This window comes from Homo sapiens, chromosome 14 (genome assembly GCF_000001405.40).
Source record: "Homo sapiens chromosome 14, GRCh38.p14 Primary Assembly".
NCBI lineage: Eukaryota > Metazoa > Chordata > Mammalia > Primates > Hominidae > Homo > Homo sapiens.
The window spans coordinates 58,463,026-58,488,306 of record NC_000014.9 but is presented as its reverse complement, the minus strand read 5'-3'; the positions used below and the strand labels follow the sequence as shown (position 1 = coordinate 58,488,306).

Below are 25,281 nucleotides of genomic sequence, written 5' to 3'. Positions count from 1 at the left end.
AAACCTTTTAAGAAAAAAGGTGAAGGTATAATTTGATAATTTTTCAAAACTCAACACTTATGAAAGTTCTTTCTTTCAAAGTATAAGGTAGTCTGTGGTTTATAAAGCTTTGTATAATATTTCTATGTTTTCAATGGATCACATAAGTCAAACATAAGTTGAAATGTACAGTTACTAGTGAGTATGTTCTCATTTACATAGCTCTTGGATGAAGTTCTTCTTGAGGTGAGTTAGGGTTCTCTTCTTCCAGTGGCAGGTCTCCATCACCCCATGGCTTGGGAAGCTCTGGGCTTGATACCTTCAATTTATCAATGGAAATATCTGACAAAGTTGGGGTAAAAACTGCCGCCGCTGGAGGAGGTGTAGTAGTAGGGGTAACTGTTGGAGTATTAACAAGCATGATGGCAGGCATATCATCTCCTAAAGGTTTTTTTTTAAAAGGACAGAAAAAGATAGTAGTCAGTAAAGAACTCCATAGGATGGCATGATACATTGCTTCAGATATCCCTTACCATTTTAGCACACAAATAATGGCAATTATAATTAATAATAATAATGACAATGGTGGTAGCCATTAATGTGATAATTCCTAAATTTAGTGAAGCGTTAAAAAATACCTTGAGAAGACATCATTGTTAATACCACCATATACTTAAAGTAGTCTAAGCATCTATTCAATTGTATACTTTTTTTTTTTTTGTGAGACGGAGTCTCACTCCCTTGCCCAGGGTGGAGTGCAATGGTGCGATCTCGGCTCACTGCAACCTCTGCCTCCCGGGTTCAAGCAATTCTTCTACCTCAGCCTCCTGAGTAGCTGGGATTACAGGCACGTGCCAACACACCTGGCTAATTTTTGTACTTTTAGTAGAGAGGGGTTTCACCATGTTGGTCAGGCTGGTCTCAAACTCCTGACCTCGTGATTCACCCGCCTCAGCCTCCCAAAGTGCTGGGATTACAGGCGTGAGCCACCATGCCTGCCTGGCCTCAATTATAGACTTTTAAGAAGTCGCAATCAATTCCTAAATTTCCTTGTGAGAAAAAATGATTTACTAAAACCTAGTAAGCAACAAGTACATATACAAATCATGAAATTTAATAGTTGCTAAAATTAAAACCGAGTTATAGAAATAAAGTTTCTACCTTTTTCAGCACATATTTCTTTCACAGGAAAAGCCATATCATGATCCGAATCACAGGGAGAAGAATCTGGAGTCTTTACCAAAACACACTCCTTAGCAGGTGATGAAGGTGAGCAAGGAGGCGTAGGCTGTGGGGTAGGCAGTGGGGTGCACACTCTTGCCTAAAATAAATAAAACAAGATAAACTGTGTTTATAATCACCCAAATAAAAGTAATTTGAAAATAATATGAACTCATTCATAGACTATATATAATTTAAATTGATGGCAGGGTTAAGTACCCTACCTCTTGAACCTCTACCTGTTAGTCTACGATTGGCCTGCAGCAAGTCTCAGGCAATTGAAATAACTCTGCCTCTGAAGTGGTCCCCACAGAATTCTAAGGCACCCTCTTTTAAAATAGAGAAGAAGTAATTTACGTTCCTACCAACAGTGTATAAGTGTTCTGTTTACTCTGCAGCCTCACTAGCATCTGTGGGTTTGTATTTTGTAGTTGTTTGTTTTTAAAATTTTTATTTTTAATTTTTGTGGGTACATAGCAAGTGTATATATTTATGGCAATCTTTTTTTTACTTTTTAATAATAGCCATTCTGACTGAAATGGTATCTCACTGTGGTTTTAATTTGCATTTTTCTGATGATTAGTGATGATGAGCATTTTTTCATGTTTGTTGACTGCTTGTATGTCTTCTTTTGAGACCATTACTGGGTATATACCCTAAGGATCATTATACCAAAAAGACACATGCACTCATATGTTCATTGCCACACTATTCACAACAGCAAAGACATGGAGTCAACCTAGGTGCCCATCAATGGTGGACTGAATAAAGAAAATGTGGTACACATAAACCATGGAATACTACACAGCCATAAAAAAGAACAAAAATCATGTCGTTTGCAGCAACATGGATGGAGCTGGAGGCCATAATTCTGAACAAACAAACAGAGGAAGAAAAAAACAAATACCACATGTTCTCATTTATAAGTGAGAGCTAAACATTGAGCACACATAGACATAAACATGAGAAAAACAGACACTGTGGACTATGATGGCAGGGGGCAGGAGGGAAGAAAGGGGAATGAGTTGAAAAACTACTTTTGGGTACTACACTTACTACCTGGGTCCAGTATATCCATATAACAATCCCACACATGTACCCCCTATACCTAAATAAAAGCTGAAATTTTAAAAATAAAGAAGACTGAAAGATTAAATAGATAAAGCTGATGATCAAACCCAGTTACAGACATGAAGGAAAGGCATAGAACAGAAAGGAAGCATTTTAAGTGATTGACAACATACCAAAAAATCAGCCTTTTTGCACACACACACAAACTGAGTATATAAAAAGTAATGGAAGGATAAGAAGAATTGGGAGTTAGGGAAAGATGAAGACAGCAGGGAGATGGAAAGTACTGGAGAAGGAAAAATGTAACAATTTAATATTAATTTGTTGAATAGGTAATCATTCAAATGGTTCAAAATTCAAAAGGTACAAAAGGATAGTGAAAATTAAGTCTCTCTCCTACTCTTGTCCTTTCTACCTAGAGCCCTTCCTCAGAGTTATCAAATAATCTTGACTTCAGTCATTTCATATGTATGATATATGGATATATCTATGGAATAAGTTCCCAGAAGTGGGACTGCTCTATTAAAGGACTAATTATGTTTTTAATTTGAATAGATATTGCCAGATTTCCTACTACAAGATTTTACTATATTATACTACCACCAGAAGGTAGGAAAATGACAATTTCCCCCAGATTTATCAAACTTTTAGAGTTTTGCCGATCTGATCAGTAAAAATGCAATTTCAATAACTTTTTTTCTTATTATCTATGAGGTTGATCATCTTCATCTTTTTATATGTACATGGGTGATCTGTATTTCTTCTATGTATATGAACTGTCTGTCCTCTGACCATTTTAAAAATATATTATTTGGGCCAGGTGCGGTGGCTCATGCCTGTAATTCCAGCACTTTGGGAGGCTGAGATGGGCAGATCACGAGGTCAGGAGTTCGAGACCAGCCTGGCCAACATGGTGAAACCCCGTTTCTACTAAAAATGCAAAAATTAGCTGGGTGTGGTGGCGGGCGCCTGTAATCCCAGCTACTTAGGAGGCTGAGGCAGGAGAATCATTTGAACCTGTTGCAGTGAGCCAAGATCACGCCACTGCACTCCAGCCTGGGCGACATGAGCAAAACTCCATCTCAAAAAAAAAAAAAAAAAAAAAAAAAAATATATATATATATATATATATATATATATATATAAATATATATATAATATATATAAAATTTGACTTTTTCTTCATTCTAAAGTCTTTATATAAGGTGATTACCCTTTATTCTGTATTATGGGTTGCAAATTAAGATGCAATTTAAAACCATGAAGCATATTAGAATTTCTATAGCATTGCTTAATAATTAATGTACTCTTAGTCTTCATTTTAAAATGAAAGAAGTACACTATGTCTTTTTTTCTTCTTGACTGCATAAACATATAGCATATAAGTGTTATTTTCAAATATAACACTATATTTTATATATATAACTCATCATGATGAAAGGATCTGAAGGTATTCTTCTAGTATTGGTAATGGATAATAAAAATGATAAACTATTAGTAACTGAGTGTTTATTTACCAAGTTCTAGGCACTAGATTAAGCTCTGTCCATATATCATCTCACTTAATCTTCCACAAAACTTTGGCAAAGAGAACACAGTACCATAAAGATGTCAATCCTTCTTAAATGAAACCAGTCAAAATTGGTTTAATTCCCACTGAAATCTCAACAATATTTTTTATGGAACTTAAGAACTAACTTTAAAATATATGTGAGAGATTAAAAGGCCAAGAAAAGCCATGACACTTCTGAAGATAAAGAATGATAAGTTGCAGGCTGCGAGTAGTGCTTGCCCTACTACATATTTAGGAAGCAGATTTCAGCAAAGCCATGGTCATTTAAACTAAGTATTCTATCTTTATTATAGACATAAAACTAAAGTAGTGGAGCTTGGAATTCAAATTCAACTTTTACCAACCCCAAAATCCAAGCTCTTTACACTGGTTTTCCCACATTTTCTCATCCAATCACCCTCATGAAAATATATACAATATATATAGGCAGAAAGCAAACCAAAGTAATTGGCATAGAAAAAACCATAACCCTGACCACATCTGTACTGCATATATTCCCAATGAGCTAATAAAGCACAGATCAAAACTACAGATCAAATCTTTGGCACACTAATCACATTATACCACAACAATCTCTACAAAAATAAAATACAGTATATAACTTTATACATCAAATGATGTTTAAATGTTTCATGTATATAAAATGATGTCCTTGTGATCTATAGGATCAGAAGTAACTATAGTTTTAAACAGCTGGTAATACAGAGTAAATTTTGGCTTTGTATAATTTCATATTGCTATAATAGATTATAAATTCTTTTTAACACAAGTAAGGTTGATTAAACAAGCAATAAAAGTTCCTGAAATGTATTTTCTTTTAAAGATTAAAAATATCAGTTCATATAATAACGCAAAGCAATGTATGATCCTTGGCTATATCTTGATTTAAAAAAAAACTGTAAAGGATGCTTTTGAAACAATTAAGGAAATCTAAATATGGTCTCTATATTCTATATTATTAACACGCCAATGTTAAATCTGGGGGGGTGTGATAATGGTATTCTGGTTATGTAAGAAAGCAACTTGTTCTGTGGAGATACTGCTGATGCTTCTGAGGTAAAGATGTCTGTAACTTTCAAATGGTTTTTAAAGGATATATAATATATAGCAGATATAAAGACAGATTTTTATAAATGTGCCAAAATATTATCAATCAATAAATATGAATGACCCTTGAATAAATAACTAAATAAAAACATAGGTTTGAACTGCAAGAGGCCAATCATACAAATTTGGTTTTTTCAACCAAATGTGGATCAAGAACAGTATTCATGAGATAAGAAATCCATATATATATAGAGGGCTGACTTTTCATATTCTTTGGTTTTACAGGGCCAACTGTGAGAGTCGAGTATGCAAGGATTGGCCAATTCTCCACGTACACCAATGGACAACTGTATAGGTAAAGGGTGTACAGATGTTCATTTTATCACACTTTCAACTATTCTATAGATTTAAGTTTTTAAAATAAAATGCTGGGGGAAACGTTACTTTAATCATAGCAACAAGGAATAAAATTCTACCACAAGCTGGGCATGGTGGCTGGTGCCTGTAATCCCAGCTACTCAGGAGGCTGAGGCAGGAGGATCACTTAAGCCCAGAACTTCAAGACCAGCCAGGGCAATAAATAAAGACCATGTCTCTAAAAATGATAATAATACTTCTACCACAAACAATGATCTTATGGTATGCAGCTTAAAATTCATCTATTTTACTATTCTTCAATAAATGTCTCAAAAATTCCCCATACCGGCAAATATGTTTCATTTGTTGAAGCATCCCCAGAAACACCTGTAGCAACAGGACCTTGCTTCTTTGCTTCTCTGTCACCCAGCATGACAGCAATGGTCTCAGCAAGAGCTTCGTTAACAAAATGTTTAATCACATTTGAGTTCACAGGAACACCAGCATCAACAAAAAGCTGGAGGGCGCCACTGCTTGTTCCTTCCACTAAAAGTAAAAAAAAAAAATCAGAATAAGTGGGCAAGAAACATGCTTGCAATTCAAACTTTCATTATTATTATTATTATTTTTCTCGAGACGTAGTGTCACTCTGTCACCCAGGCTGGAGTGCAATGATGTGATCTTGGCTCACTGCAACTGCCACCTCCCAGATTCAAGCGATTCTCCTGCCTTAGCCTCCTGAATAGCTGGGACTACAGGCACGCGTCACCATGCCTGGCTAATTTTTGTATTTTTAGTAGAGATGGGGTTTCACCATGTTGGCCAGGCTGGTCTTGAACTCCTGACATCAGGTGATACACCTGCCTCAGCCTCCCAAAGTGCTGGTATTACGGGCGACAGCCACTGCGCCTGGGCCGAACTTTCATTCTTAAAAGTTCAGAGATGCCGGCCGGGCACGGTGGCTCACGCCTGTAATCCCAGCACTTTGGGAGGCCAAGGCTGGTGGATCATGAGGTCAGGAGATTGAGACCATCCTGGCTAACATGGTGAAACCCCGTCTCTACTAAAAATATAAAAATTAGCCAGGTGTGGTGGCAGGCGCCTGTAGTCCCAGCTACTCGGGAGGCTGAGGCAGGAGGATGGCGTGAACCCAGGAGGTGGAGCTTGCAGTGAGCTGAGATCGCACCACTGCACTCCAGCCTGGGCAACAGAGTGAGACTCTGTCAAAAACAAAACAAAACAAAACAAAGTTTAGAGATGCCAATATACGTGTATGGGGGTGGGTGGGGGAGGGTGGAAAGAGGAATAAAAATGAAAATACAAATGTATCTACTTATTATGAAAAAGACTAAGAGGACAACTTACATAACAAATATTCTCTGTAAATAAAAAAAAGGGAGATGAAAATTTACTCAGATGGCCTCTTCTCTACTACTACAGAATTTAGTGATAAAAATGGGCACATTAAATGCCCTCATCTGAATACAACTCACATTTCCAAGAGTATAACAACAGGAAACTCTGTGATAGATCTTGACTACAACAAAAGAATGCACTAAATATAAAGGCAAACCTCCCTTCCTTCTAGTTTCAGATACATCAGTTATTAACATCTACTGCAGTTGAGGTGCTTGTTATCAGATGTCCTATAGGTATATTAATATCTGAATGGGTTGTACTTCTCACTTACATGAATGTACATCAAATTAAGTAAAATCTCCTGGAGAGACTTTACTTGACTTAAAGTAGTGATATTTATAAAGCTCCATGCGGAAAATAAGTGGATACTCATTTGTACAACCTGATGGAGATGTGACCTCACCAAAGAGTACTGCTTAAGTAACACAACTATAGTAACAATATCCAGAATTCCCTAAAAAGTGGGTAGACGTCTAGTGGGATCACTTGTTGACGGGGTAAGTAACAGCAATTTGCTCTTGAGTTACCATAGCAGAGACTATCCCAATCCCAAATTCATATTCAACAATATATGTTGATACATCTCCTTTTTAGTTTCCATAATTCATTCTTTGAGCATGGCCCAAAATCAGAACATCGTTTTTATAAGGTCCCAAATCCCTACCCAGACACTGGCAAAACAAAAGCAAACACAAATCTTTGACAGGGAAGAAAACAGGATCTAAATACCCAATTTGTAAAATGTCAGATTTTCACCAGGAAAAAAATTTTCTCATAAATTTGTTGTTTATTTTTGTCCTCCCTTCAAAGATGAGATGACGAGAGAAAACTGGGATAGTAACAACAGAAGGAGGCATGTGAGCTATGCTAAATAGGACAAATTAGCCAAATGCAACAATAAACTCTATGAAGCTGGGATATAGGGTATGGCTGAGTGGGGAATGAAGAAGAGCAAAGCAAAGAAAATAGAACAAATAATAACTCCAAGGCTTTAGAGATTGGGTGCTGGGAGAACTGTGATCTCAAAAATGAGAAGAATTTTAGACATACTAAAGATGAGATGCCAGGGGAGCATCAAGCACAATATTCATCAACCAGCAGAACTGCAAGTTGTCGGCCCAAATACATGGCTTAGGGTTCATCAACTGACACAGGATAACTAATGTCAGGAGGAAACTGGAAGAAAACAGAAAAGAGGGCAAAGCATGGGAACTAGGGAAATAATTTTATTCAAGTAGCAGAAAATAAAATGAGAAAATGAAGGTCTTAAAGAAGTTTTTTTTTTTTTTTTTTAAAAGAGGAAGAATTAACAGAATGAAGTCTAAGCAGCCAACACCAGGAGAAGAGTTTAAGCATCAGAGATGGTCAATAGTGCCTATGCTTGAGCCATACAGTAAAACAAGGATTTGAAAAAGGGAAACATTTTTGACAAGCAAATGCTGTGAGAAAGGAGTTTCTTGAGGGGGAGGGCAAAAGAAGGCCAACCTATAAGGACCAAAGAGGAAGTAGGTAATGAGAAATTAAAGTGGTGAATATAGACTCTGAAGTCTAGGATTCGGGCTGTTAAAGGATAGTCTATGAGGGAGAAAGAATAGCTTATCCTGAGGCTGGAAAGAAGAAAAAAAGTAGAGATAATGATAAACAGGAATAAAAAAGAAAAAAAGAACAAAGTTAGAAAAACTTTCACTATCCAATTTCAAGTGTTACTATTAAATTACAGTAATCAAGAAGTATGGTATTAGTATAACTTACAGGTGAATGAGACAGGATACAAAGTCCAAAAACAAGATGCACACATATATAACCAATTGATTTTCAACCAAGGTGTTAAGGTAGTTCAATGGAATAATGATAATCTTTTCAACAAATGGTATTAGAACAGCTGGATATCCATATGCCAAAAAACCCCAAACAAAAAAGAACTTGATCCTTACTTCACACCATAAAACTTAACTCAAAATATACTATAGGCCTAAATGTGTAATCTAAAACCATACATCTTCTAGAAGAAAACATAGGAAACTATCTTAATGATCTTGGGTTAGCAAAGATTTTTTTAAAAGCAGCATGCAAAAATCCCTACAAACTACTAGAAAAAACCTGATAAATTAGACTTCTTCAAAATCAATCTTTTTGTCTTCAAAAAATAATGCTGAGAAAACAAAAAGGCAAAACACAAAGTAGAAGAAAATATTTACAAAACATATATCCAATAAAGGACTTGTATCCAGAATAGATAAAAAACTTCATACTCAGTAATATGAAGACACGACTCGAACTTAAAAATGGTCAAATGATTTAAAGAGATTTCACCAAAGTAAATATACAGATGGCAAATAAACACATTAAAAAGTTGTACATCATTAATAATTATACTACTCAGGTATTAGTATAGTTAGGGAAATACCTCCACATATGTTCAGAAATGGCTAGAATTATAAACACTGACAACACCAAGTGTTGGGGAGGATGTGGAGCAACTAAAGTCACATACACTGCTGGGTGGAATGCAAAATAGTACACCCACTTTTGGAAATGTTTAGCAGTTTCTTATAAAGTTAAACATTTACTTATCATATGACCAACCAAAATTAAAAGGTTTCTACACAAAGATTTGCTTACAAATGTTCATAGCAGCTTTATTCATAATAGCCAAAAACTGAAAGACTATGAATGTCCATCAACTGGTAAATGGATTGACAAATTATGGTATATCTATACATTATACTATTACTACATGCAATAGCATGATTGTCAAAATATTATGCTAATAAAAGAAGCCAGCTAACAACGGGCTACATATTGCATGATTACATATGTATGAAATTCTAGAAAAGGTAAAAATACAGTAATAGAAAGCAGATCAGTGTTGTTAGGGGCCAGTGGGCACGAGTGAGGTTTAGGAATTGACTGCAAAATGGCATAAGGAAGCTTTTGGAGAAGACAGAAATGTTTTTCTATCTCATGATTATGTGGCTAATATATAGCTGTGTGAACTTGTGAAACTGGGCCAGGTGCGGTGACTCACTCCTGTAATCCCAGTGCTTTGGGAGGCTGAGGGAGGAGGATCACTTGAGGCCAGGAGTTTGAGATTAGCCTGGGCAATATAGCAAGACCCCATCTCTACCAAATTGATTGACTGATTGATTGACTGATTGAAACAGAGTCTCGCTCTATTGCCCAGGCTGGAGTGCAGTGACGTGACCTTGGCTCACTGCAACCTCCGCCTCCTGGGTTCAAGCAATTCTCCTGTCTCAGCCTCCGGAGTAGCTGCAATTACAAGTGTGTGTCACCATACCCAGCTAATTTTTATATTTTTCATAGAGACGGGGTTTCACTATGTTGGCCAGGACGATCTCAAACTCCTCACCTCAGGTGATCTGCCCTCCTTGGCCTCCCAAAGTGCTGCGATTACAGGCGTGAGCCACTGTGTGCCTGGACCCAAAATGATTTTTAGCTGGGCATGGTGGTGCACACCTATGGTCCTAACTACTTGGGAGGCTAAGGCAGGAGAGTTGCTTGAGCCCGGGAGTTAGAGGTTACAGTGAGTTATGATCATGTCGCTGCAGTCCAGCCTCTAGCCTAGATGACAGAGGGAGACCCTGGCTCTAATTAAAACAAACAAACAAAAAACTTGTCAAACTGTACACTTAGAAGTGGTGACTTTTATGGCAAGTAAACTTACCTCAAAAAAACAAGGAGGAGGTGGAAAGGAAGAAAAACAGGAGGAAGAGGAAGAGAAGGAAAAAATGGGGAAGAGAATGGGGAGAAGAGCGAAAGGGGAAAAGAGAAAAAGAAGAGGAAGAAAAGAAAAAATCGGGAAGAGAAGCAGGAGAAGAAAAGGAAAAGGGGGAAGGAGAAAAAGAAGAGGAAGAAAAGAAAAAAATGGAGAAGAGAAGGGCATAGGCACCATAAAGAAAGGAAGAAAAGAAAAAAATGGAGAAAAGAATGGCATAGGCTCCATAAAGAAAGAGGCTCATTTTAACCATTCAATGAATACTTAAACTCTTGTTGGGTATCAGGCAAGGACTAGGCACAAAAGGAGAAACATCCTTAAATCCTGAGTAATTTATAGTATAAAGAGTGAGGTACATATGGAAACCAACCTTAATATAATCTGATAATTACTATAACAAAAATATGTACAAAGTACTATGGGGATAACAAAGAGATTTGGGGTGGGAGGTATGAAGAGTGGTTTAATAATCTGAAAGCTGCAATATGAAATAAGAGGGTGAGAGAGAACTAACCATCACCAAAGAAGTACTAAGAAGTAAGGTTAGAAGAGCTTACCTTTTGTTACTGGAGAATTTACTTGACCTCTGGAATATATAAATCCACGATGAACTAAAGCTTTTGTCTTTTAATAAAAACAAAAAAAAATTCTATTTCACTTACCAATGTCAGAAGTCAGTGGTTCACTTGTCTCACTGACTGAAACACTGATACTAGGTGCAATCTGTTGCTGGACTGGAAAGAGCCCAGAGATAATTCTTGACATTATTTCTTGCTCTACCCTGAGAGGATGGTGGGGCAGATAAAAGTTAAGATTCCTCAATTTGATTGAAATGTAAAAAATGTTAGACATACCACCCCTAAAAATAACCTTTACCAATGCCACAAACATGTTGGTGTGAAAGCAGTCATTCTGAAAGTTAAATCTAGAAGAAAAAAAATAAAATGGGCTGGGCATCATGGTGCATCTGTAATCTCAACACTTTGGGAGGCCACGTTGGGCAGATTGCTTGAGCTCAGGAGTTCAAGACCATTCTGGCAAACAGGGCAAAACACTGTCTCTACAAAAAATACAAAAATTAGGTGGTACGTGCCTGTAGTCCCAGCTACTCAAGAGGCTGAGGTGGGAGGATGGCTTGAGCCCACGAGGTTGAGGCTGCAGTGAGCTGTGATCACACCACTGCACTACAGCCTAGGCAATAGAGTGAGACCCTGTCTCAAAAAAAAAAAAAAAAAGTACCTCTGAAGAAGATAAAACACACTAAACAGAATCTCCTTGTGGGAGATAGTTTATGAAATCAAATTAAAATCTTTCAGATTAGTCTAATGAAAAGCTTAAAAGAACTCCTAAACTCAAAATAAGACTTGGGCCAATGACTATCTGGCATATCATGTACCTAAACTGTTTGATTTCCACTCTGAGTGCACACATAAAAACCATATCAGATCAGAGCTAGAAAAGATGTCCAGCTGCCCTTTCTTCACGGTAATACACATATAGGCTGTATTATAGGTAGTTTTCCTCTTAAAATGTAAAGAAAAAATTTATTTCCAAAGTCATCTTCAGGAAGGGAAAGGGGAACAGGAGACTTCTAGAACATTTCTTTAGTGCAGTTAATAGACTTCTTAAAAATTATTATATAAATAATAGGTGTTCATTGTAGAAAATTTAGAAAAAAATGTAAGAGTTTAAAAAATTGATAAAGCTCACCTATAATCCTAGGTTCAGCAATAAACACAGTTAATTTGGTATGTATGCTTTTTCAAACTTTTGTTTTATGCACAGTTTTTTGTTTTGTTTTGTTTTGAGACAGAATCTCACTCTTTCGCCCAGTCTGGAGTGCAGTGGCACAGTCTCAGCTCACTGCAACATCCACCTCCCAGGTTCAAGCGATTCTCCTGTCTCAGTCTCCCGAGTGGCAGGGACCACAGGTGTGCACCATCGCACCTAATTTTTGTATTTTTTCAGTAGTGACGGGGTTTCATCATGTTGGTCAGGCTGGTCTCGAACTCCTGACCTCAGGTGATCCACTCACCTTGGCCTCTCAAAGTGCTGGGATTACAGGCATGAGCCACTGTGCTAGCTGCCTACTTACTTTTGAGTAAGATCTTGTAAACTGGGGTTACATTGTTAGTATCCTGCTTTGTTTATATGCCAGTACATTATTAATATCTTTTTATATCATTAAATTTCTTCTAAACCTAATTTTCATGACTATATTAATATTCAGCCATTTCACTTATTCCATAACTTCCTTAAGGTTTCTTACAAGTAAAAATACAAATAATAGCGTTCATTTCATATTCATATGTAACAAGTTACAATTGTTATTGTAATATGTAACAATAATAACATATTACAGCTTGTTGTTATCAGTATGTAACAAACCTAGAACAGTGCCCTCTTTGTAGTGCTAGGTATTATATGGCCTAGTATAGCAGTCCCAACCTTTTTGGCATCAGGGATTGGTTTTGTGGTAGACAATTTTTCCACAGACCAGGGCAGGGGTGGTGGGGTAGGGGGTGGGGGGATAGATTCGGGAGGAAACTGTTTCACCTCAGATCATCAAGCATTAGATTCTCATAGGGAGCGTGCAACCTAGATCCCTCACATGCACAGTTTACAATAGGGTTTGTGCTTCTATGAAATCTAATGCCACAGCTGATCTGACAGGAGGTGGAGCTCAGGCAGTAATGCTCACTCACCCGCTGCTCACCTCCTGCTGTGCAGCTTAGTTCCCTGGTTCCTAACAGGCCACAGACTGGTACTGGTTCGTGGCCCTGGCCTAGCAGCAAACCATAATTACTTCTTTAGGATAAGTTTCTGGAAATGAATCACTGGATTAAAGAACATGTACATTTTTAAGGCTTCCTAATAGTCTACTTGTGCCAGAGTAGACAGATTGAGTACAAATATTCAAGGACAAAAACAATAACCTCCAACAATAGTTAAGCCCTCAGCATTATATCAAACACTTTCCAGTGACTAAAGCAAAGAAAGTTTAATAAACAAAAGAAGACAAGGAATATTTTCAGCCACATTTTAATACTTTCCATTTATATTTTCTACTATGGTTCTATTCATACCAAAAACATTATAAACTTACCATTGAATTAAGCTATTTTCCAGTGTTTCTTTTCTCTCAATTACTTTATCCAGAATATCAGCAGTGGGCTGAAAAGTAGAAGCAACTGGCGGAAATGGAGGACCATTATATTTTGTAGAATCAGCTTTAACACTTCTGTTAAACTCCAGAATTGGTTCAGAGTCTGGAATTTCATCACATTTTTCTTCTTCCTGGTAGTAACAAAAACAAAACTATTATATTCATGTATTTGTTCAACATTTACTGAGTACCAACTATAGGCAAGGAACTAGGTGAATTAAGAAACCCTTCTAAATTAACCAACAGCATTTCTAATTAGGTGGTATCACATTAATTATAATATACACATTAGTCAGACATATCATATTGAGGAACCCTTAATTACACAATCAGTTTGTCTTTTTAGAACCCAATATTCATTTTATGCAATCACAAAATAAACTAGAAAACATAATTATTCCTACATAAAACACTATTATTTCTCTCTAGAAATGTATGCTTAATAATTATCGTTAAAAAATTGATGCTTCCTGATATGGTTTGGATATTTGTCCCCTCCAAATCTCATGTTGAAGTGTGATCCCCAGTGTTGGAGATGGGGCCTGGTGGGCGGTGCTTGGGTCTTGGGGGCAGATCCCTCATGAATGGCTTGGTGCCCTCCCCATGGTAATAAGTTAGTTCATATGAGAGCTGATTGTTTAAAGGAGACTGGCACATCCTCCTCTCTCTCTTGCTCCCTCCCTTGCTTTGTGACACATCTGGACCCTCACAGCCTTCTATCTGAGTAAAACTTCCTGAGGTCCTGACCAGAAGTAGTTGCTGGCACCATGCTTCTTGTACAGCCTGCAGAGCCACGAGCCAATTAAATCTCTTTACTTTTTTTTTTTCTTTAAGACAGAGTTTCACTCTTGTCACCCAGGCTGGAGTCCAATGGTGCGATCTCAGCTCACTGCAACCTCCACCTCCTGGGTTCAAGCAATTCTCCTGTCTCAGCCTCCCGAGATGCTGGCATTACAGGCGCCCACCACTATGCCTAGCTAATTTTTGTATTTTTGGTAGAGATGGGGTTTCACCATCTTGGCCAGGCTGGTCCTGAACTCCTGACCTCAGGTAATCCACCTGCCTCAGCCTCCCAAAGTGCTGGGATTACAGGCATGAGCCACTGTACCTGGCCTTAAGTCTCTTTTCTTTATAAATTACCCAGTAATTCCTTTATAACAATGCAAAATACACTAATACACTTCCAAAATCACTTTTTGCTCTTATACAACTTATAATTTACATTTAAATATGCAATAAGGTCAGTCATCTTACAAATTATTTGCATTACCACATCATAACCAATAGAGTTATTTCTGGAATTGTTAAAGTTTTTATTACAAAAAAATCATATGTGTTTAAAAGTAAACAAATAGTGTCCTTGTACTGTATCTGTTACATAAATAACATGAATTGCATTTATCCGCTCCCCAGCTTTAACAATTATCAACTTATGGTCAATCTTGTCTCATCTAGCCACTTTCCCCTTCACATATCATTTTGAAGCAAATCACAGATATCACATCATTTTATCTATAAATAATTCAATCAAAAACACTTTGGGTCTCTCTAAATAGTACAACTCAGTAATATTATTCCATTGAAAAATGAAGTCCACAGCTTATAAATGGCAGAGCTAATACAGGAACACTTGTCTTTGAATGCTAAATTCTCTGCTACTTCTATAACCATTTCTTTCGCTTGTATATTGCATAAACAATTACCAAGTACCTTTGCTAGGCATTAGGAATATAAAAATAAATAAGGTCCCTGTCTTCAAAATTCTCATGTGGCACTCACATGAGAAAAGACATATCTGTGAGCGAATAACATTAATATACTGCACACCTCTGTATATTCTAAAATTGGATTTCATTTTATGATTAACAAAACTGATCTTAGCTCTAAAAGTCAAAGAAACTTGATCAAATGTGTTCTTTAAAGTCTAATGACATAATGGTCAAGTAGTTTCAATGTTCTATGATCTTTTGTCCCATCCTTTATAATTTACTTCCACCTATTTTTCCCTCTATTTCATTATTTCTATCATTTCTATAACTCTTCCTTCCATATGGGATATTCCTTTGGATTATAGATTTCTCACAACTTTTTTCTCAATATCAATTAACTAGTCACCTCACCATGAATCCAAAAACCAAAATTAACAGAAAGAAAAAAAGACAAATTGGAGGAAAAGAAGCCAAAGGAAGTGGAAAGAAAGAAGAAAGCAGGAAACAGATAGACAAAATCTAGGTGGGGAACGGCAGATAATCATGAAGCTTCATGAAGGCAGATAGGTGATATAGATTAAAGACATTCTAGAATAACAACTTTATAATTTTTAAAAGTATATTTAACTCAAAAGTAAAAGAAAGTATCTCAAAGCACTGTAACATAATATTGATAGTCCAAAGATAGTCAACAACCTGGAAAAATACCGGTAGAAAAATAATTTCTCATGGTTTCTAAGCTTTGTTACCTGTATGACATCGATTATTTCATCAAAGTTAGTTCCTGGAAACTTCACCTCTTCTTCATCTACCTTCATAATTTCTGGAGTCTAAGAAAGCATTTTCAGAAAGTTTTTGTTGTGCTTAACACTTTTAAAATTTATAAGTAATTTATCATATTTCCACCTATAGTATAAGCTTATAATTACATGGTCCTTTTTAATCATTTTAATACCCTATTCAGAATTGATTTAATTAGTAAATGAAATCCAAGCTAGTCCCCAAGCCATTAGGTCAACATTTCAATAGCTTTAAAAAATTAATCAGCTGTTTTTCTGTAAAGGACTCCATCAGCAATATCACTTAATTGATCAACAGGTTGATATAATTGAGACTTCTCTTCCAGAATTAAGATAAAGGAAAGTGTTTACATGTGTAGATCTCTAAGTATAAACATATATGAACTCACATGAAGATGGATACAGAATCAAATAATTCAGGAAAAAAAACAAAATAGTCATTTTACAAATCTAATCATTAGGCCTCATTATATAAAATGTAGTCATGCAATAGCCTCTTACTGACAGCAGAATGATAAACAGTCCAAAAATTTATTGCTTGTTATCACAGAAGTTTCAATAAACAGAAGGTTAAAAAAAAATACTGATGAAAAAATTCAATTAAGCACAAATGTCACTTACGGACAGTTCTATTTCATTACTTATGATCATGAAAGATTGCTGGTATTCTCTCTCCTTTTAAAACTGTACCCTTGGCCAAGTTTGCTTACAATAAACAAAACCTGGGGTAAGTTACAGTGCTATTTTGCTGTGTAGTAAAGCCATAACTTCATTATTCAAAAGCAAATAAATGCCAGGAAGAAATGCATATTTTTGTATCATGTCAACAGTGGGATAACAAGGTAACATTCCAAAATATAAACTCCCAACTGTCACTATAAAATTCATTTAGGATATCTATAATTCCCATGTAAATCAAAGATTCATCACCAAAGTGACAGAAATTCTTTCTTCACATGAGAGTTTCACAACTTAAATTACCAAAAAGTTACACTAAAGATTATCACTTTCCAAATAGTTATAAATGTAAGGATCTGAAACAAACTTTCAAGTTCATAAACAATTCAAAATTTGTTTTGGGCTGGCGTGGTGGCTCACGCCTGTAATTCCCGAACTTGGGAGGCCGAGGTAGAGGGATCACTTGGAGTCAGGAGTTCAAGATCAGCCTGGCCAGCATGGTGAAACCCCATCTCTACTAAAAATACAAAAATTAGCCGGGCGTGGTGGCAGGCACCTGTAATCCCAGCTACTCAGGAGGCTGAGGCAGGAGAATTGGTTGAACCCGGGAGGCGGAGGTTGCAGTGAGCTGAGATCACACCACTGCACTCCAGCCTGGGCGACAGAGCAAGACTCTGACTGAAAAAAAAAAAATTGTTTTCAATCTTTTCTTCAAAATCTAAATTATTATAAGTTATCATTATGATAAAAGGCTTTAAATGGAGTAATTAGTTAAAATCTACAGTCAGACATTACTCAAAATAATATGATAAAATTCTGAAATATACCTTTATCCAAGTTTGCACAGGAGGAAGAGATGCTTCTTTGGGGCTAGACAGAGGTGAAAGGACATCAGCACTACTATTTGAAATGCTGTCAATATCTACACTGGGTAATACCTAAAACAGAATACAACATTCAGCTTTCTGTTTATCATTTTTACTCAAATATTTTTATGAGTATGTGTATATACATGTATATGTGTGTGTGTATACACATATACATAAAAACAAAGCATGCCCTTTAAGTTTTTATTGTGAACCCAATGGATAACAAAATTTTTTAATTATGAAAGCATATTTTATAAAATATGAAAAATAAAGAGGAAAACACACAAAATTCTATCTTAAGATGACTTCATTTTCACTATTCCCTTTGTCTTTTACTATCTACTTATACATAACTAAAATTTAAAATAGTTTTCATTCTTGATTTTTCATTTTGATTACAAGAACCATAAACACTTATCATGCTTTTGTATAGACTTCATAATTATATTTTTAAATGACTATATAACATTTCAACAAACATGTCTTAATTATTTAATTATGTTTCAATTGGAAAAATTTAGGAAATTTCCAATTTTTCCACTATTATATATATATCACTACAAAAAAAACTTACACACACATAAACACACACACACACACACACATTTTCTTCCTAAACCCTAAATTAATTCACTATACTAGATAGCCAGATATTGGATTAACTTTCTGGGCCACAGGACACGAATACTTAAGATTCTTGGAAGTACTGGTGAAATGTAATCCTAACAACCTCTATTTACATCATCAAAAACATAATTAAGTCTAAGTTTTACCCAACCCTCACCAAAATTAGATAATATGATTGTTTCAGCAATAATAGTTTTTAAATGGATGCATCTTATTGTTATTTCAATTTGCATTATCTTGGTTACTGGCAAAACTTATTTAGTTTGCTTGCTGATAAACTGTACTTCCTCTTTTGTAGAGTCTTATTCATGTCCTTTGAACATTTCTAGACTTGGATCTGTGTTTTCTTATTAATTTATAGAGATCTTTATATTTAAAAATTAATGCTTTACTAGCATCTTCGTTTCATATGTTCTTACTGTGTGTTGTTTGCCTTTTAATTCAGGATTCTTTGCCCCCTGATCTAGATCCTCTAATTTCCTCCATGGACTGACTGTGCTAGTGATGCTCATTCGTTCAATACACATTGACCGGGTTTGTACTTGGCTCAGGGAGCTGTCCAGGCTGAAGTGTCCCCAGGTCTCCCGAAGCCTCCATAGCTGCTGCACCACTGGGTTAGTGGGCCTACGCTGTCAGAAGGATGCCCAAAGACTGCTATAAGAGAGGAACACACTTGGGTTCATGTTGGGAGTTCCCTGCCCTGCAAGAATGACTGGAAGTTGAAAGATTCTGCAGCCAGGGCTTTATTGTGCATTTGCTCCTATCAAGCACAGGGCCGGGAATATTCCTGAGATCCATTGACTGCCTCAGCCCTAACAACTTGGCTGTGAAAACACACTATCAATTTTAGCTGCAGGGTGGAAGTCAATCTATGAGAACGAAGTGTTTGTGGAGCTACATGGGTGATTTCTAAGTCCCTGGGAATCTCTCAGGCTGGTGGGTTGAGGCTGTTCTGTATAAATTTGTGCAGAAGAAATGGATAGTTCGTTTGTTCAGGGAGGAGTGTCCAGTCAAAAATCAGTACTAAGAGCCTGTTGACTGTTCATGTGGTGGCATCCGACAGCTCCAGGATTATCTTCTCCTCAGTGATCAGGATCCAAGAATGAGGCAAGTCTTCTCTCTTCCCAGAGGGCATACTAAGTTGCCCAAGAAAACTCATTTGTCCTGGCTCAATCAAAAGAGGAACCTTGGAGCAGTCTAAGGACTGGAGTGTTCTAATTATTTGTAAGTAAGCAAGGATGGTAAGACGAATACAGGAGTTGGAGTAAATCAGCCAAAAAGTTTACCACAGTTCATGAATGCTTTCCTACAGTTGCCTCCTGACTGGTCAATAGAAAGTCGCATGTAAATACTCATGTTCACCTTTGTCCAGACCTAGTGAAGACCTCAGCTTCTACAGCTGGATCCCAGGCCGAAGGGTAGATGTTTGTGAAATGTCAAAGGGTTTCTTCCCACATGAGCCTGTTGAAGTCTTGTATTCATTCAAGTCTTCTAACATATGTTAGTGTAAAGTTTGAAGTATTAATTATATAAGTCACATATATTAACTTTTTAAAATTAATTATAATACACAGTTCAATTGTTCCCCTTGGAATATCACCAAGCCACTTGTATATAAGTCATTGGCCTAGAAGAGCAGCTTAAATCATGCAAAACAGGACAGAAACATCATATTAATATCACAGTTTTAAAAATAACAGAGCCAGCGGGGCATGGTGGCTCATGCCTGTAATCCCAGCACTTTGGGAGGCCAATGCAGGTGGATTCACCTGAGGTCAGGAGTTTGAGACAAGCCTGGCCAACATATGAAACCCCATCTCTACTAAAAAAAAATACAAAAAATTAGCTGGGCATGGTGGCGGGCGCCTGTAATCCCAGCTACTCAGGAGGCTGAGGCAGGAGAATCACTTGAACCCAAGAGGCAGAGGTTGCAGTGAGCCGAGATTGCGCCATTGCCCTCCAGACTGGGCGACAAGAGCAAAACTCTGTCTAAAAAATAAAAATAAATTTAAAAAAAAGAGTCATGATCAAAAGCAATATTTTTATGAAGCAATATAATGGATTTCCGTACTAACGTTAAGCAAAAAAATTTTTTCTTCCTTAAAATTTTCTACTCATGCACCCTGGCATACCTGCACAGTAAGCTGAGGAGGATCCTTTTTTTCTGACTTCATTTCTACAATGGCTATGTTAGGTTTCTTTACTCCAGTTTCTACTTTTCGAGATGATGGAGGAATAGAAGTAGTCACAGTTACAGGGTGTGGCTTGCTGACAATCACTCCAGCAGGTGGCATGGTATCACTATTACTTTGGGTTTGTCCTAAGAAGTTTAGGAGAAAAAATAAGTCAACTAGTTCAGAAAAAAAGGGAAAAGTCTAATATACCATCTGGATCTTAATGGCTATATTCTCATATTTAAAAAAGCCCTATCTGACAATCACCCCTCCCTCCATCATCAGCACTGTCGACATACTCACCATACCCAGTGACTTTTATTAAGCACTTATATGTACTCAACGCTTCACATCACTATCTAATTTAAACCTCAAAATAAAGGCTAATAGAAAGCTATTAATACTATCCACATTTTAAAATGTCAAAAACTTTCACTTCCAAAGTCCCACTTGACTTCTACATATCAAAGTAAAGAGGGGTAGTACAGTGTACTTGTTGAAAACACAGACTATAAAGCCAGACTGCCTCTGCCTGGGTTTGAATCCTGGCACCATTCTAGCTGTGTAGCCTTTGACAAATTATGTAACCCTTTTGTGCTTCAGTTTTCTTAGCTATACAATTTGTATATTACCATGTGCTTTATAGGGTGGATTAAATGAGAGAATATATGTAAAGTGCTCAGAACTGTACCGGGCACACAGTAAGAACTTTAAAAGTGTGAGCTATTTTATTACTAGGAGATATGTTTAAACAGAGAGCTATTATGTTGACATGAAATTAACCCATAATATCAAAAATAAAAAAGTCTCTTACATTAAAAAATATTCATACTTAAATTGTTAATCAAAACAAAAGAACAGCAATGACACTAAAGGGAAAAAAGAGCTAATTAGACTTGAACAGCTGGTGTGAGGACAAAAATGATCTGTTCAATTTTTAACATGAAGACTCAGAGAGAAGGCAAATAAGTAAATAAACAACTATTGGCTTAGATTACACACCCACACAGCTTTCACTTATGATAGCCTAGTTCAAAAGTACAAAAAAAAGTACCTTAATACTTCCCCAAAGACATAATGATATTAACAAGATAATCAAACTTATTGAATTATTATGAATGTCCATGACATATTTAAACTTTCTTTTTTAAGAGACAGGGTCTTGCTGTGTTGTCCAGGCTGGAGTACAGTGGCATAATCATTGCTCACTGCAGCCTCAAACTCCTGGACTGAAGGGATTCTCCTGCTTCAGCCTCCAGAGTAGCTAGGACTACAGGTGTTAGCCATCAAGCCCAGCTAATTTTTTTTTTTGAGACAAGGTCTTGCTATGTTGCCCAGGCTGGTCTCAAACTCTTGGTCTCAAGCAATCCTCCCATCTCGGCTTCCCAAAGTACTGTGATTAAAGGCATGAGCCACTGTGCCCAGCCAAAATATTGTTTAAAATTTCATTTCATCTACAATAATATAACATACCAAAAGAATTTTTCCTATTGGTGAAACTACAGCAGGAACCCATCATTTCAGAGATTGCTATTACACAGCATAAAATACATTGTGAGGCCTTCCCCACAAAAACAAATAACATTTACAAGAAAAGGTAGATGACTATCATGTTAGTACCATTTTGTAAGTTCTGCTACTGCTGATAAGAATTTAAAATTCAATGGCTGGGCACGGTGCCTCACGCCTGTAATCCCAGCACTTTGAGAGGTTGAGGTGGGTGGACTGCTTGAGTCCAGGAGTTCCAGACCACTCTGAGCCACACAGTGAAACCCCGTCTCTAATAAACACACAAACAAACAAATAAATAAATAAAATAAAATCCATCCCACATATTTTGTTGATTCTTACCTAAAAGAATTGCCATAGGAATCAGATGACCTTCCAATGTACCTGAAAAAGTAGGCATTTCTCTACTTGGGCTGAACAAATATTGCTGATCGCCATGAGGTAACACAGGAACAGAATGTTTCATTTTAGAATCCATCTTCTTAGGTTTTGTTGCATAGAAGTCAGTCTGTGTTCTTATTGACTTTACCTTAGTGCCTATAATAATCACCAATGGCAGATATTTTAAAATATTGTTAGAATATCTACTATCCAGACATCTAGAAATACAACAGCTCTTCACAGAAAAATCTTAATTCTATATAAGGTTACAAGGCCCCAAAACAGAAGTAATATATAGACCAGAGGTAGCAAACTTCTTAAATGGCCAGACAGTAAATATTTGTCTGGCAGGCCACGTGATCTCAGCTGTAATGACTCAGTTCTGCTGTTGTGTCATGAAAGAAGCCATGGACAATATATACATGAATGAACACAGTTAGAGGCAAATGAAACTTTATAAAAACAGGCAGCTCACGTGTAGGCCACAGTTGCCAGCCCCTGAATAGACATACAACTTGTACAGCTACTGTGACAAAATAGATATAATAACTAGAAAAAAATGTTAAATAAAGATTCTGAAGAATATTCCAACAATGTTTGAATTCTTTAAATTTTTTTCCATAGGTACGAAAAAGTTAATGATCATTTTTGGAATTGATGATTTTCATTTTCTCATTACACCTTTACACACAACATAATTCTGAATAACCAGCTTTATCTTTTTAAATTATGTACAGACAATCAAATTCTATACTTACTTAAACCTTACTAATTAATATCATTATACAGTAGTCTCTCCTTATCTGTGGTTTCTCTTTCCCTGTCTCAATTACCCAGGATCAACCTTGGCTGGAAAATATTAATGGAAAGTTTGAGAAATAAACAATTCATAAGTATTTAAAAATTATTCATTAATTTTTTTTAGATGGAGTCTCACTCTACCCAGGCTGGAGTGCAGTGGTGCGATCTTAGCTCAATGCAACCTCTGCCTCCCAGGCTCAAGTGATCCTCCCACCCTAGCCTCCCGAGTAGCCAAGACCACAGACGCATGCCACCATGCCCGGCTGTCATAAGTTTTACAATGTACGCTGTTCTGAGTAGCGCGATAAAATCTCATGCCGTCCTGCTCCATCCTGCCCAGGACATGAATCATCCCTTTGTCTGGGGTCTCTACACTGTAGACACTACCTGCCCATTAATAACTTAGTTACCATCTCAGTTATCAGATTAAAAGAACATAGTACATGTTAGGGCTTGGTACTATCCACAGTTTCAGGCATCCATTGAGGGTATTGGGACACATCCCCCATGAATAAGGGGGGACTGCTGTACATTTTTTTCTGTTCCTATGATGTATACATACACATATAGCCATTATATCCTAAATCTTAAAATATTAAAAATTTGACTTTATGTCTCTTTGGAGAAGTGAATAAATGTCTATGGAACACACACACAAAAAAGTAAAGAATAAAGTAAGCGGGCAAAGGAAGAGGCTAAAATATTTTCTTAATAATTTCCTGACATTACATTTTTACTTTTAACATGTGGGTGCTTTTTTTTTTTTAAATGCAGGAACTGCCAAAGTTTTAGTTTTTAATAATTAATAGTACAACTGACCAAGGTCCAAGATGTGAAGATACCACATTCAAGAAACTGGGGGATAAACCTTTATAAACTAACTATATAGTATGTGATAAGAATGCACACTTTATAATATAAAACCTGTCTACACACAGTAGTTAGCTGAAAAAAGCCATTCAGTCTTCTCTTGGCTCAGAAAAATGATGTTCCAGATTCCATTATATAAATTATTAGCAACCCTCAACTCTTTTGTGTGGCAGGTATCTTGTTTTCACCTTCCAGTTCTTCCAGCCCAGCCTGTGTCATGGGGTCTGTGATGTTCTTCTCCAGATCATCAATGTGACTACTCATATCATCAATTCTCCCAATTATCTGGTCATAGTCTGAAATTTATCTTGCATCTGCTGCAGGGGTGTCTACACCACCGAGGTGAGGTCCTGCAAGGTCTTGGGGTCAGTCTTGGCCATCTCCCCAGTGCCCAGGTTGGTGGTGATGTCTCAGACCGTCACCTACACTTCCACTTCACATGTGGGTGTTTCTATGTATCTAATTTTTTAATGTATCTAATTTTTTTTTTTTTAGAGACAGGGTCTTGCTCAGTTACCCAGGCTGGAGTGCAGTGGCACTATCATAGCTCACTGCAACCTTGAATTCCTAAGCTCAAGTGCTGAAGTGATCCTCCCACCTCAGCCTCCCAAGTAGCTGGGACTACAGGCATGCCCTGCTAATTTTTTTAATTTATTGTAGAGACAGGATCTAGCTATGTTGCTGAGGCTGGTCTCAAGCAATCCTCTTGCCTCAGCCTCCCAAAGTGCTGGGATTACAGGCATGAGCCACTGTGCCCAACCTACACATCCAGACTTTTAAATATAGTTTCTTTTTGTTTATGACCCCAGGAAGAAAAATTGTAATACCATGTCTATATTCTTTCATCTTGTTCTCTGATAGTCATTCTATTGAATGAATATTTTTCTTAAGTGTTTATTTAAAATGTTTGTTCAGCATTTAATATGTGTTAAACATTGTTTCTGGCACAAGGAATACAGAGGTGACTAAACCAACTGTACTCATGGAGCTTACAGTCCAGTAGTGACAAATAAATAATAAAACAAACAAATAAAAATATAACACAGGAAATGTGAAGTGCCATGAAGAACAATATGGCAGAGTGAGGAGATGGAGAGGAACAGGAGATAATTCTTTGAATAGAATGGTCAGGGTAGAGCACTCTAAGGAGCTATCATCTAAGAGCGGAGACGGAAGAATTGAGAGAGAGAACCATGCAAGTGTCTGAACGAAGAGCTCTCCAGACAGAGGAAGTGGCAGGTACTGAGGCCCTAGGATAAGCATAAGTCCTTAGGTTCTGATATGGCTTGGCTCT

The 25,281-nt window shown here is 36.9% G+C and overlaps 1 protein-coding gene and 1 pseudogene across 34 annotated transcripts in view; both read right to left on the bottom strand.

The window, feature by feature from the left end:
• Positions 1 to 25,281, bottom strand: part of KIAA0586 — a 134,691-nt gene that overhangs the window by 73,784 nt on the left and 35,626 nt on the right. For all 34 annotated transcript variants that reach the window (NM_001244189.2, NM_001244190.2, NM_001244192.2 and 31 more), the window contains 9 exons: positions 22,278 to 22,472; positions 20,385 to 20,572; positions 17,584 to 17,694; positions 16,028 to 16,108; positions 13,510 to 13,700; positions 11,066 to 11,184; positions 5,595 to 5,794; positions 1,141 to 1,300; positions 198 to 420 (listed from right to left, as the gene is read on the bottom strand). In NM_001244189.2, coding sequence (NP_001231118.1) covers positions 198 to 420; positions 1,141 to 1,300; positions 5,595 to 5,794; positions 11,066 to 11,184; positions 13,510 to 13,700; positions 16,028 to 16,108; positions 17,584 to 17,694; positions 20,385 to 20,572; positions 22,278 to 22,472 — 1,468 coding nt within the window. The remainder of the gene's footprint in view (positions 1 to 197; positions 421 to 1,140; positions 1,301 to 5,594; positions 5,795 to 11,065; positions 11,185 to 13,509; positions 13,701 to 16,027; positions 16,109 to 17,583; positions 17,695 to 20,384; positions 20,573 to 22,277; positions 22,473 to 25,281) is intronic.
• On the bottom strand, positions 23,886 to 24,423 carry HSBP1P1 (heat shock factor binding protein 1 pseudogene 1; annotated as a pseudogene).